Here is a 15,499-nt window from a genome sequence, read left to right on the forward strand (position 1 = left end):
CAGGGAGATTAAACACCCTTACACAACTAGTTATGTGAAGCAATTTACAATTTACAGACAGGCAGCAAGGGATAGCAAAATCCAAGAATTTATTGTAGGTCTGTTCCCCCAAGGCTCAGGAAAGCTGCCTGGGGCTGATGGGGTCTAGACTGCTTCATATATACTGCAGCTGAGGCACTCTGGATTGGACCCACCCTGGGTTTTATATCTTGGAGTCACATATCATGCTGAGCTAAAGTGTTGAAGGAAATCTTGTTTCAAGAGGGTATGGCAGGACAATACTCCCTGTCAATTGGACAGACAGGTCTGCATGACAGTCACACAGACAGGCCTGTGTAGCAGTCCAGTTACACCAACAAATTTCCACAGCGCTGCCTTAACACTGAGCAAATAATTAAACCTAGGGGAATCGGTTCCCAGGCATCAAAGCTAGAAGTAAAACATAGGTCAGTGGGAGGCTTGCACAGGCTTCTCCCTAACCTCGAGCAAGTCAAAATAATGGAGACAGCCTTACATTCCTAGTGCCAGGACCCGTCTTGGGTCAATAAAATGAGATGAGTCAAGGTAACAGAGGCAGCTGTTTGAATAGATTCACTGGAGAGTCTAAGGCAGCTCTCTGGACCAAGCTGTAAATGAGATAAGATAGAAATAATCACTCCGGTACCACAGTCCTCACTGATTAGAATTTAGGAGACAGGGCTTGAAGGTACTGGGGCCCTCACAGCTTAATCGGAATTAGCATTTCTTTGGCCTCTGACCTAGTTGAAACAAAATTAGTTGCCTATAGACTTAGGCAAATGTTTTACTGCACGTAGGCACATAAAGCCAACCTATATAAGCACTAAGAAAATTGTAACACTTTCAGCCTGGCCAACATGCTGAAACCCCGCCTCTACTAAAACTACAAAAATTAGCCAGGTGTGATGGTGGGCGCCTGTAGCCCCAGCTACTCAGGAGACTGAGGTAGGAGAATCGCTTGAACCTGGGAGGCAGAGGTTGCAGTGAGCTGAGATCATGCTACTGCACTCCAACCTGGGTAACAGAGTGAGACTTCATCAAAGAAAGAAAGAAAGAGAGAGAGAGAGAGAGAGAAGGAAAGAAAGAAAAGAAAGAAGGAAGGAAGGAAGGAAAGAAGGAAGAAAGGAAGGAAGGAAGGAGGGAAGGAAAATTATAACACTTGCAGTTGGTCTGGTGATATTATCTCTGACCTTCTTCCTGTATCCAGTTACAATAATAAATTCCCTTCTTTCCTAGTTTCTCTGCTTCTAGTTATTGGGCCGTGAGAACATGCAGCCAGAACTCGGCACAAGGGGATTGGAACAGAGCCTGTGCTGTGGTGGCCAATACTGCCCTATCTCAGGATGTTACATTCCCAGGATATTCTACAGTGATTCTTGAAAACTAAGAGTGAGAAAGGGGAGGAGACTGGGTTGGTCCAAAGCCAACTGGAGACTGTGCTGCAAATACTGCAGTGGGATCACACTTCATTAGTCCTGTGGCTTGCTGATTTTGCTGAGCATAGTGCCTTCACTGTTCATCTATGTGGGAGCCTGTGTCAGAATTTCCTTCCTTTGGAAAGTTGAATAACATTCCATTGCATATATATTTATATGCCACATTTTGTTTATCCACCCTTCCCTGCATGAACATTTGAGTTGATTCCACCTTTTGGCTATTATGAACAATAATTCTCTGAATGTGGGTATATAAATATTTCTTCAAGTTAATGTTGTCAGTTATTTGGATATATGTCCAATGGTGGAATTGCTGAATTATATAGTATTTCTATTTTTAATTTATTGAGGAATTGCAATGTAGTTTCTTATACTAGGTGACCATTTTACATCCCCAAAACAGTGTCCACAAGATTTCCAATTTCTCCAAATTCTCATGAACAGTTTTCATTTTCTGTTGAGGGAAACCATCCTAATAGGTATAAGGTAGATTTTGTTTTCATTGCCCTAAGAATTAGTGATGTGGAGCATCTTTTTCTGTGTTTATTGGCTCTTCATCAGTCTTTACTGGAGACGGTTAATATTGAGTGTCAAGTTGATTGGATTGAAAGAGGCAAAGTATTGTTCCTGGGTGTGTCTGTGAAGGTGTTGCCAAAGGAGATTAACATTTGAGTCAGTGGGCTGGGAAAGGCAGACCCACCCTCAATCTGGGTGGGCACCATCTAATCAGCTGCCAGTGCAGCTAGGATAAAAGCAGAAAGCAGGCAGAGGAATGTGGAAGGACTAGGCTGGCTAAGTCTTCTGACCTTCATCTTTCTCCCGTGCTGGATGCTTCCTGCCCTCAAACATCAGACTCCAAGTTCTTCAGCTTTTGGACTCTTGGACTTACGCTGGTGGTTTGCCAGGGTATTGTCAGCCTTCAGCCACAAACTAAAGGCTGCACTGTCGGCTTCCTTACTTTTGAGGTTTTGAGACCCGAACTGGTTTCCTTTCTCCTCAGCTTGCAGACAACCTATTGTGGGACTTCACCTTGTGACTGTGTGAGTCAACATTCCTTAATAAACTCCCTTTCATTTATACATCTATCCTATTAGTCCTTTCCCTCTAGAGAACCCTAATACAGGAATGGTCAGGAAGCAATTAATTTCCCTTTACTAATCTATTTTAGATTGTCTTTGTGCAATGAATTTTTTCTGGGTTAGTAAATTAAAGGAGCCTCTAAAACTAGCTACACATTGTGAAGTCCACATTAGAGGCAGTGGAATAAGTGTCCCCCAGCATTTAAAACCCAAAGATTTGAGGGCCCTGAATCTAAGATTTTTTCTAGCTCTCTTGCTTCATAAATATGCCCTCTGATTTTTAATTCTACCTTAGAGAAGGACAATTGTGGGGAAGATATTAATTGTGGGTGAAATGAAGAATGCCCACATCCTGTCCATGTCCTAGTACCTAGAACCTATGAATTCTAACTTACGTAGCAAAAAAAAAAAAAAAAAAAAAAAAAAAATCCCAAAACTTAGTGGATGCAACTTACTTAAGGATTAAGGATTTTGAGTTTGGGAGAACCTCCTAGATCATCCAGATGAGATCAATATAATCACAAAGGTCCTTATAATTGGGAGGGAGGAGGGTGGCAGTTAGATAGGAGCTGGGACAATGGAGAGGGATGCTGGAGTGATGGAAGAACGGGTCATGGAGCCAGGAATGTTCGGGCATCTTTTTTTTGTTTTTTTTGTTTTTTTTTTTGAGACAGAGTCTCACTCTGTCGCCCAGGCTGGAGTGCAGTGGTGCAATCTGGGCTCACTGCAAGCTCCGCCTCCCGGGTTCACGCCATTCTCCTGCCTCAGCCTCCCAAGTAGCTGGGACTACAGGTGCCCACCACAACGCCTGGCTAATTTTTTATATTTTTAGTAGAGATGGGGTTTCACTGCGTTAGCCAGGATGGTCTCGATCTCCTGACCTCATGATCCGCCCGCCTCGGCCTCCTAAAGTGCTGGGGTTACAGGCGTGAGCCACCGCGCCCGGCCTAGGCATCTTGAAGATTAAAAAGGAAAGAATCAGATTCTCTCTCCTAGAGCCTCTAGAAGGAATAGAGCCCTATGTCTCCTTGATATTAGCTCAGTTAGACTTCTCATCTCCAGAACCATAAGATAATAAATTTGTTAGAAGCCAGAAATATTGTGGCAATTTAACCAGTAGCAATTGGAAACTAATGCAAGGGGAAAAATGTCTTTTACGTCTCTGAGTGTGTGGTGTCCTCTGTTCTCCCAAACATTCCATGTTGTTATAATCTGGTGCCAGTTTTGACAAGAGATGTAAACCATTTTCTATGAGAACTTGCACCGGGATTCTTCTTAGGTAGAAAATGTCTAGAGTAAACCCTTTGATTAGCTCTTTTCCAATGTGTGTTGGAGAGTTAAGGGATCAGGTCTCATAGCACCTGATAGAAAGAGGAGGGTTTGTTTGTTTGTGTGTTTGTTTTCATGTTTGGCAGGAAAGTTAGAACACAACCTGACAAGGAAAGACTTAGAGAGATTGGAACCTGAGAAGGAAGACTTAGAGAAACTGGAAGGGAAAGAGAAGATGTGAACAGGGTCAGGGGAAAGCAAGATGTGTTCCTACTCCAAAATATAAAGCAAAGTCATTTACAATTTTTAAAGACTTCGAGAGAGTTATATTTTGAAGAGAAAACCACAGAAGAGGCTAGTTTAAGATTAGGGCCAGCCTGGCATGAGACAGAGGCAGCAGGGAGCTGTGGATTCCACACTGTTTTTATGGTCCCTTCTTCCTATTTATAGGCTTTGGGCTCAACCATGGGATGAAAGTGGCCACGTAGAAGGAACATACTAAAGCCAGACAGACCTGGGCTTCAATCCCAAGTCTGACCATGTGACTTTGGGCATTTGCTGACCATGTGACTTTCGGCAAACCAGTCATGAGCTCTCATAGCTGGTTCTCTCATATGTGAAATGGAGCACTTTGGAAGTCATGGGGTATTGTGAGAGTTTAACCAAATGATGCACCCTGAAGAGTGTATATGTGTGCCCATAAACACACACACACACACATTATACGCACATTTTATATACCCAGTTTTCTTTAAATGCACCCTTGAGTATCTTAGAAAAAGAGGCTATGGAAGATATTATTAACCATATGTCATTTACAAATCAAATTCTTTAATAGTTATTCTACAACTAACCTGTGACTCACTATAGGCAATGGGGTTTCATGTGCATTATTTCCACAATAAAAACTTCCACAAATCCATTCCTGTGTAGCACTAGAAACATAAACAAGATGACAAATGACTATAACACCTTTAAACCAGATTTCCCCTGAGCTCCATCTGTTTAGTGTACACTATTGGGTTCCAAAGGCCGTGGCTACAGGTCTGAGTTCTAAGTCCATTCTTCCCACACCCACAGCCTTCCCCCAGGTCTCATTCTGGCCTCCTGCATGCTGGGAATACAGACCCACCATCCTGCTACTCTCCTGGGAATCCAGCACTAACTACCTGGAAGCTTTGCTTAGTAAACCCTCCAAATGCAACCTCTGACAGAGACCTGGCTGAGGCAGCCAGCAACTTCCCATAAGAAAACCACTGAGAAGGGAGGAAACTTGCAGAACCATGTTGGTGTTGAGGAGATGCACAGTATCACCAGGTTTTATCTTTTCAAACGGTTCCTGTCTCTTTCTTGACAACAATTCATGACCTTGGAAAAGGGAGGAATTAAGGAGAACAAAGGGATGTTTCATGCTTAGGATATAAAAGGAGAAATGGAGATAATGAAAGAGCAGAATTGAGGAACTCTTTGGCATTGTTTGGGTTTCTCTTGCCATGGGCATAGCAGGACAAAGGTGCCAGGGAGAACATCACTTATCATGTTTCCTGCCCTTCATGCCTCAGACTCGTACAAGCACACACACTTCTGATAATATGTTTCTTCTTCTGAAGCACAGTCTGTGGCCCAGCCAGGATCTTTCTCTTAAGTGTCTTTTATAGATAAGTTGGAATAATTTTAGAAACAAGTCAAAGAAATAATAGTAATGGTTTAAGTAATGACAAGAAGTCTGAAGGTTGAAGCACTTAAGGTTGGTACAACAGCTTGGTGACAGCTGAAAGGCCCCAGATTGTTACTACATTTTTGCTTTGCACCTGCATCATCACTGGCTTTTCATTCTTGTTGTAAATGCCCCATGGTCTCAAGAGGATTGCAGCAGCTCTAAGCATCATATCCTCTCTTAACTGTTACAGGAAGAAATGCAAAGCAAAGCTCTTCACTTTCTGTCCTTTTCTGAGGTATAACCATTTTCCCATGATCCCTGCCCACTCCTCTGACATTATCATTTTGGAGCTGATCACATGTGCCCTTAATCCCTGCTCCCATCCTGGGCTGGGAGAAACTCACCACCCTCACCATGTACGGCAAGACACAGTTGGTGCCCTATACACCAAAGGAAGAAGGGGATGACTGTTGCATAGTTGCCAAGAGCTTTGTCACATTTTAAATTTTGCTGTGCTTCTAAGTTAAGTTGTATAGGGAGGAGAATGTATGAACACTTTGATTTGATACAGCTAGAAGAAGCCAGGCTCTGAGGATGAAAACGAAATCAAATTTCTGATTTCTCATATGACATCTTTAGCTTTAAGAATTGTGTAAATGTGGCCTGTGCATTTAAGACCAGGACAGGCTTTCAGTTATGGGAATAAATGAGGAGAGATTTGGAATAGGGTCCTCAACCCAGGACTAAGGTGAAGCTTGCACTACTTTAGACTGCTGGGCTCTGACCCTGGGCTGTGGAGGAAGTAGCTGCTCTCTTGAGCCATGGGGCTGAGGACTTGGGAGGAACCAAATGTCCTGCCCACAGAGCTGCCTGGCAGGGTTTCAGGGAAGGAAACTGCTCATACTTCTATGGGCGCTGCACCAAGCATAGAGTCCACTGCCAGTGTGAAAGTCTCAGACACACGACCCTTAGGGCTGGGCCTGAGCTCCTGGAGCTGGCTGCTCTCAGCTCTGTCCTCACTGATTCTGCATGGCTGGGGCCCTGCTGGAGTCAAAGAGGGAGGAACAGCAAATGTCCCCAGAGTCTTTACTCAGCCAGGCTCTGTTCTGGTTAGAAAGAAAAAGAGCACATGCTAAATAAACAAACTTAAAATTACGTGCATAGGTATACATTTGCAATGTAACCCTTACAAATTAAATATACATATAATATTTTAGATATAAGTAATAAACAAACATAAAATTACATGCATAGGTATATATTTGTAATGTAACCCTTACATATTAAATATACATATAATATTTTAGATATAAATTATATTTATACATTTGGATATACTGTGCATCTATATTAGGAATAAGTATAATATGCACACTTATATGTTAATAGATATAACTTTAATTGTCAGTGTAAGATATGATTTTTAAACTTTGATAAATTGAGCACAAACATTTAAAACCAGCAATGGTTGCACCACCCCATGGCCCCTTCATCACTACACAGCCTGAGGGTCAGGAAGCTCAGGACCAAACCTACATCCATTCTGGGCTGAGCAGTACCTCCCTGCCCATTGCTAAGGACACTGACTGTCCTGACGGGGGTCTGGGGAATCACAGAGCAGCAGGTGCTGGGGAGATGGGCAGTGGGTCTAGACCCCAACTGGAGGGACTTTTGTCCCCAGAGCTCAGGGTGGGCAGGTCCTCCCCTGGTGGCCTTTGTGAGACAGAGTAGCACACATGGCCCAGTGGCTGTGTGGTAACAGGGAGAAACCACTCCAGGGACCATTGGCAGCCTCCCCTCTGCCTGGATTCAGCCCACATCAGGTAGGGTTTGGGGATACAGCCAATGCGGTGGGGAGGAAAAGGCTGGGCTTCCAATCTCAGAGCACAGAGCACAGAGGGAGTTTCCCACAACTCAGTGCACTGGCAGCTCCTCCCATGTAATCTAGGTCATAAATGAGACCTCATTTTAGCCCTAAAATATCCCTGTTGATTTTCCTAGTATTTCTAAGATCAGGCTTATTTCTGGTGTTTACTGTGGGGTTTGTCTGCCATCTAATGGCTGGTTGGTGACATAGCATCTTATAGGATTTTAGATGCTGAGTCCCAGTCAATCTTGACGGTGAGTCTTTTCATGGGTAATGATGAAACAGATCCTATTACTTCCATCAGTAGGCCAGATCCTATAAGGAACACAGAATGACACCTCTCCTTGATAAACCAGTCCCAAAGTTGAGGACAAAGGATATCCAGAAAAGATGTTGCTCACAAAACGATTAGGAATTAGGTTCTGAAATCCATGTGAAATGCTGAAAATGTAGTTTTGGAAGAGAGAAAAAGGGGTGTGAGAGACCCTGCCGGGCATAATGGGCAGGGGCTGGAGAGGAAATCCAAGGTCCTCTTTTCTGGATCTGTCAGCCCAGGCTCATTCCCGTTATTCTGGAAACTCTTCCAGAGCAGATCTGAGGACCACAGTGGTTGTACCAGCTGGAGAGCTTCTGAGGACTCCCAGTTTTCCAGACTAACAGCTGGTGAGATTTATGCTCTGAGCTATAACACAATGAGGGAACACTTGTCAACATTTAGAGCGGTTTTAAGCAAAATAATTTTCTAAGACAATAAAAATGTCTACATTTATGCTGTACAATAGGGTAGCCATTAGTAATATGTGGCTACTGAACACTTGAAATGTAGCTAGTGTAACTGAGAAAACATGTTTTTAATTTTTAATTCTAATTCACATTATTTGTGGCTGGGCACTGCAAGTGTTTACCCTGTGAGAGGATACAGTTTTAGACAATAATAATCAGCAATGTCATCAGGGTACCCAAGCTGCTGAAAGTTAAGGAAGTGTCTGCCCCAAGACCACCGTGCCAAGCTGGGGTGGACCATGGCCAATGTAGACAAAGCACATGGGTGGATCTTTGAAACATTCCCTGGATTCATCTGCTTCTAGGCTGGTGATGGAAACTCTCTCTCTGTCTTGGAGATACTGAGGGAGAAGCTGGAATCTGGGGCCCACAATGTTGCCACTGGAATCTGAGGTGGAAACAAAACACAAATCTTCCCCAGCGTTAATGATGTCTCACTCTACAGGCCTCCCAGAGACTCGTGTTGGCTGATCAAGTGGGAGATGAATGCTGGGCTTGCTGAGCGATGGTCTGTATCTCAGCACGGGACATAAGAACCCTGTCACATGGAGCTCCCATAGCTGAAGCCAGGACCCAAGGGCCAGAGCCTCAGGTCCAGTGCTTCCTCTGCCTCAGGTGATCCCACCCTAAAGGCAGCAACCAACCCACTGATAAGGGCTTGAGTGGCAGGGAGGGGCTTTGTGGAGCCTGCAGACTTACAACAGGGATGCAAAACTGAACTTCCAGCTTCTGAGCCAGGGAACATTTCATGTTATGGGTGTGACCCAGGTCAAGGTGTTTGATGAAAGATATTAGTATAAATTTTCTCCTGAAAGGAATAAAATCACAGAAGACATCTTATTATTATGGTACTGGTTGGCGTTTTCAATGCACAATGGTTTATCTGAAATCTCCCAGTCCCTGCCCTTCTCGTGATGATCCTATGGTCTTTGCTGTTCCTATGGTCACTTGGCTGCCTCCTCACCGTTCAGAAGCATCTCCAGTATGACCCCGAGACCTTCCCTGGTCCGCACAAATAAATGGTCTCGACCTCCAGATACCACATGCCACTGCCTGAATTTTATACAATTTATCAGCTATTGAAATGATTCTTTTCACTTTCACTGTGTAGGTATTGTTCTCTGAATGGCTCATTTCCCTACTGAATATCAGTACTTGGGATCAAAATTGTCTTATTTACTCAAATGCTCCTAACCCTCACATGATGGCTTTGAATTGTTCCTGAAAACTCTGATATTATGTTAAAATCCATTAAATGCAAAAATATGTTTATTTTGTATTGAAGAAGATATCATGGCTTCCCCTCAGCTAAAGACAATTAACTACTTTTATAGTTGAAAAAGATCCACTGGACATGAAAAAAACACATATATAGGAGTAACAAGCATCATCTTGAAATTAGATAAACTCGATTTGCATGTAAGATGTACAGTAGGCAGAAGAAAGGCCCTCACAGTGGGAGGGGCTTGATGGAGAGGGTCAGGGTGTCTGTCCCTGGAAGGTGGGGGAGGGTGTGATGAGTGACCTCAGGCAAGCATCCAATATCAGGACCAGACATGACTATGAGTAATTCCTTTTTCCATGGGTTTTGATACAAGAGGAAAGTCCTGGTGGGGAAGCTTTGGGAATAGTCATAGCATGAGTGGAATACGGGTTGGAAACAGCATGTTTCTAAACACATACAAACAGCTCACAGACATTCAAACAAAAGTATCTCACAAAATGTTACCTCTTCCTCACCTTTTCTTGCCATTTGGGTTTAACCAATCATGGCACACAATTTGAGTTTCTCTACATGAGGGTCTGCAACTTGAAACTACCCTGTGAAAGAACTGGTGACTGTCTGCCTGATACCATAATGTAGAAATACAATTTCTTGTAGTAGATCATTGCACTTTGGTGTAAAATATATGTGATAAAAAATGTATTGAAAACCGATATAACTTTTTGTGACCAAATACGGTGAAAGTCACTCACAAAAATATCACCAAATCTGATATGTCTGTTTTCTCAATGACTACATTGTATGCCAAAAATTATTTTTGAATGAGTGACTTAATGTGCACAGGAAACAAAGTAAAACAAATAAGCTGAGTTGCTCTTGGTATTAAAAAATTCTAGGAGCAGGATACTGGTCCTATAATCAAGAATGGTGAAATTTTTTTTTAAAATAAGAAAATTCAAACTGCAGTTTGGATTTTGGAGGTGGATGAAAGAGGACATAAACAATACCTCTGATACACAGAAAAGAATATTTACTCTCAGGGTGGAGGGTTGCCCCCCTGTATTTCATATGTCAGGGCAAGATATAACATAAAATGCCCATTGAGTTTTCCACCTCATCTGAGCTCCCAGACTATTTTCTCTGACATGTTAGTGCCTTGGTACACTCAACTTTTGGTGAAGTTATTCTTATTAGGGAATCGAGGATTCTTAATTTCAACTTCCTTGGGCCTGGAATCTTGTCCTGCTCCCTAGACTGGCAACAAAGGGCTCTGGATCCTTCTGGTTTTTTATTCCAGGTAAATGTTCTTTTTGGAAAAGTCTCCTTTTCAAAATTCCAAGAGAAATGTCTATAGTTACATTTTCCGTGGACCAGTTTTCAGAAATCGCAACCCAAATATTCAGCATTTCCTGAATTCTCAGTTGAATGCCGCACTGGTGAAAGTGAACCTTAACGTTAATCTGACTTAACAAACATCATGCTTCAGGGGGCTGCTTTGGAAATAGAATTAATTTGTCACACCCGTGAACCCACAATAACTGAAACCTCAATCCATGGGATCTTCTGTCACTATAGCTCTAGGCCATCACCTGCTTGTTTCCTAATCTTTACCCTTTTAAACTCTTTTGCCATAAATGAGAAACTGTAGCTCTGAAGAGAAATCTAAAGTTTTTACCAACTTGTAAAAGATAGTTTATGGAAAGAAAAGGGAGAGGTGACCTTCAACAACTGTCCATGTATTTTGAAAGTAAATATGGATAAAGACGAAAGTATGTCATTATGGTCTTAATTTGCATTTTCCTGATAATTAGTGATGTGGAGCATTTTTCTATGTATTTGTTGGCTGTTTGTATATCTTCTTTTGAGAATTGTCTGTTCATATTCTTTGCCCACTTTTTGGTGGGATTATTTGTTTTTTTCTTACTGATTTGTTTGAGTTCCTCATAGATTATGGTTATTCCTTCAACAGATGCACAGTTTGTGAATATTTTCTCCCACTTTGTGGGTTGTCTGTTTGCTATGTAGAAGCTTTTTAGCTTAGTTAGGTTCCATTTATTTATTTTTTGTTTTTGTGGCATTTCCTTTTGGGGTCTTAGTCATGAATTCTTTCACTAAGCCAAGGTCTAGAGGAGTTTTTCCAATGTTATCTTCTAGAATTTATATGGTTTCAGTTCTTAGATTTAAGCCTTTGATTCATCTTGAGCTGATTTTCGTATAAGGTGAGATATGAAGATCCAGTTTTATTCTTCTACCTGTGGCTTGCCAGTTTTTCCAGTACCAATTATTGAATAGGGTGTCCTTTCCCCACTGTTTGTTATTGTATGCTTTGTTGAAGATCAGTTGGTTATAAGCATTTGGGTTTATTTCTGTGTTCTCTATTGTGTTCCATTGATCTATGTGCCTATTTTTATACTAGAACCATGCTGTTTTGGTAACCATAGCCTTGAAATACCACCTTACTCATGCAAGAATGGCCATAATTAAAATGTCAAAAAATAATAGATATTGGCGTGGATGTGGTGAAGAGGGAACACTTTTACACAGCTGGTGGGAATGTAAACTAGTACAACCACTATGAAAAACAGTATGGAGATTCCTTAAAGAACTAAAAGTAGAAATACCATTCAGTCCAGCAATCCCAGTACTTATTTTTCTTATCTACCCAAAGAAAAAAAAAGTTATTATAGGAAAAAGAAACATGCACATGCATGTTTATTCCAGCACATTTCTCCATTTCAAAAATATGGAACCACCATAAGTGCCAATCAAGCAACGAGTGGATAAAGAAAACGTGGTGTATATACACCACGAAATACTTCTCAGCCATAAAACAGAACAGAACAAAATAATGAACTTTGCAGCAACATGGATGAAGCTGGAGGCTATTATTCTAAATGAAGTAACTCAGGAATGGAAAACCTATATGTTTTCATCTATAAGTGGGAGCTAAGCTATGAGGATGCAAAGGCGTAAGAATGATATAATGGACTTTGGGGACTGGGGAGGAAGGATAGAAGGGGAGGTGAAGGCTAGAAGACAACATATTGGGCACAGTATGCACTGCTCAGGTAACAGGTCCACCAAAATCTCAGACATCACCACTAAAGAACTTATCCATGTAACTAAAAACCACCTATACCCCCAAAAACTATTGAAATAAATAAAATAATTCATTTTTAAAAAGATGAAAGTATGCAGCAGTGACTCTAGTTTCCTCTCTGCTGGGTGAGCCAGACTTCATTGTATTGGTTAACTCATTGCCTCCAAAGCACCTGTAACAATCAGAAGTATTCTAGGGTATCACCCAGTTTCTCTGTTCAGCCAGGCTGAACTAGTTTTTGTTCTGGGTTGTAACACAGTGTGAGGTAAACTACTACTCTGATGACAGTAATACGTTGCAGCATCTTCAGCTTCCAGGCTATTGATGGTGAGGGTGAAATCTGTCCCAGATCCACTGCCACTGAACCTCGAGGGGACCCCTGAGAAGGACTGGGAAGCATACTTGATGAGGAGCTTTGGAGACTGATCTGGTTTCTGCTGGTACCAGTGTAAGCTACTACCAATGCTCTGACTGGCCCGGCAGGTGATGGTGACTTTCTCCTTTGGAGTCACAGACTGAAAGTCTGGAGACTGAGTCAGCACAATTTCACCCCTGGAGGCTGAAAATATACAGCAAACATCAGTACAACATAAATATCTGTGTATGAAAATCACCTTTAATCTTGCTAGACATGAAGAAAGAATATGCATTACATTTTTAAAATTAGGATTTTAAAATCAAGCCAAAAATCACCTATTGCAGAGTCCCCAATGAAAGAAATTACAGATTGAAAGAATATCTCCGCCTAGGTTTGTGGAAATATTCTCACCTGGAACCCAGAGCAGCAGAAACCCAATGAGTTGTGATGGCAACATCTTCCTGCCTTGACTTGTCAGTTTTGCTCATGCCACATCCCAGAGAAAGAACCTCTTTTAAGATACCGAGAGGCAGGGCCTCTTCACATATAGGAGGAACGATACATGCAAATTATGGGGATGTCCTGCTGGTTTAAATAAACAGAAATCACTGTTGCCAGGAGAGCGCCCTCCCGGCCCCTTCCATGAGGGGTGTGAAGCGCCCTCTGCTGGCACCTGCAGACGAGCTCCGCTGAGGCTCTGGCAGGGCTTGACCAAGACCCCAGGGCACAGCTGCAGAGTGAAGGCAGAGTCCATCGCCATCTCTGGGAGAGTCTGCAGTTATCTGGGGTGAATAACAGCTCACATCCTCAGTCTCGTCCCAGGGCTATGTTAACTCTCCTGCTCTCTGTCACAATGTAGGCTGAAAAAGCTTTGTGAACGTTCCACAAAGCATCAACACTATATTGATGACATCATGGTAATTAGACGTGATGAGCTGGACATTGTAAGAACTCTGAATTTCTTGTGAAAACACATGTGCTCTAGAGGGTGGGATGCACGCCCCAAAACATCAAGGGCTTGTCACATTAGAGAAGATGTCAAGTGTTTATAAAAGGAGTATGAGTCATGCTGGCTTATCCCCTCCAAAGTAAGGAAAAATAATTGCACCTTGTACTTCCAACCACTAGCAATGAAGCACATTACTGGTTAAGCCATCCTAGAGTGTTGACAATGCATTTTGCACTTGGGTTTACTATACCAACCCATTTATCAGCTAACTTGGAAGGCTGTCTTTTATGAATAAACTCTGAGAAAGAAAATATTCTGTAGTAAGTTTGAGTTTTAATGCAAATGCCTCTGTCACTTCAGCCATGAGATCCAGCACATTGCCTGGTGCTAGATAATCTATATTAGATGAGGAAACTCTGTAAACCTCCATGCAAGCACCAAAAAAGAGTCACAGAAAAAAATCTCTACAGTTCTTGAGCAAGATCCTGAAATGCCCCCAAAATAAACAAACAAACAACACACAAACAACTCACTACTCAAAATGCAGCTCTCAAAATATCACAGGGTCCATGTAGGCATGTCCATGAGTAATTGACTGTTTGACTAAATAATTAAGTGACTAAGCTGCCCCTCATAAACTGAGAATGTCACTCTCACCAATTTTAAGATCAGGTGAAGCTCAGCACCATTCAATATTGGGATGCAGATGGTAGTTTAGTGACTGGGTTCAAGCAGATTCAGAAGGCATGCTTCATTTCCATAGACAGATGTTCCAGTTCCTTATATCACTTTTCTCTCTCAACTTAACACCTCTGCATCAGCTCTCTCTATGATATCATGGGTTTTCCTGATCAGCTAATGCCAGAGAGAGAATACAAAAAAAGAAAAAGAAAAAAAAAAGAAAATAAGCAAAAACAAAGAAAATCAAAGCAAAAATGAGAACAAGCTGGGCTTCCTCTTGAATGGCTTGGCATCATATGTTTGTGTAAGTAAGTGTGGACTGTGTCCACACTATGGCAACGGTCATGCATGGCTGTCAAATACTACCTTGAGTTATCTTACATCTGAGCAGAGCACATGTTCATCAAATTAGTAGATAGAGAAGTGTCTGGAGTCAAGTATACATATAGATTTCTGAATAGCTGGCTGGCTAAGGTCCTGGAAAAGAAGATCATAGCAATGAGCTGGGCAAACGTTTTTCCCAAATGTGTGAAACTCATAAACCTATTCATCTGTGTGTGTTCTGAAAAGTGTATACAAAATGTAGCCAGTTCTTATCTCCCTCTGTTTTACTTTTCACTGCACCACCTTTGATCCCTGTTATTCATAACGGCAGCTTTTAAGTCACCAGAAATCTGTGCAGACATTATTTTAGCAATTCTATCATTCCATCACTTCCAGGAGTCCACTAGTAACTTTCAGCTGGTGTACCACTTGCCCCAGCTAGAGACCTCAGTTTGAACTAACTTGCTCTGTTCATTTCCTGCAGAATTCATCACATTTAGCTGGAAACACTGAAGGATCTTGCTTGACTCTCCACCTCAACTCAAGTCCACTCCCTTCGACTGCAAGCTGCAAGCTGACATCCTCATTAAAACCCCAGATCTGCAATTCATGCTGACAGAGCGGAGATGGAAGGGAGAAATCCCAGGCAAAAGGCTACAGACATAATTTCCTTCCTTACTCAAAACATATTCTTTCATGTTATGAATAGTATACAGTATTAAATGTTTTATACTTTGCCAATTGTCAGAG

At 42.0% G+C, this 15,499-nt stretch overlaps 1 gene segment (V, D, J or C) and 1 further gene, besides 2 other annotated features; one reads left to right on the forward strand and one right to left on the reverse strand.

Moving 5' to 3' along the window:
- The window catches only part of IGK (immunoglobulin kappa locus), a 1,378,008-nt gene that overhangs the window by 289,690 nt on the left and 1,072,819 nt on the right, over positions 1–15,499 (forward strand).
- On the reverse strand, positions 12,701–13,252 carry IGKV6-21 (immunoglobulin kappa variable 6-21 (non-functional)). The segment is given in 2 exon segments: positions 12,701–12,996; positions 13,207–13,252. Coding segments are annotated over 2 exon segments (342 nt in total), but the record flags the coding sequence as incomplete, so codon positions are not given.
- Positions 12,986–12,996: a sequence feature (IGKV6-21 leader sequence).
- Positions 13,207–13,252: a sequence feature (IGKV6-21 leader sequence).

This window comes from Homo sapiens, chromosome 2, assembly GCF_000001405.40.
Source record: "Homo sapiens chromosome 2, GRCh38.p14 Primary Assembly".
NCBI lineage: Eukaryota > Metazoa > Chordata > Mammalia > Primates > Hominidae > Homo > Homo sapiens.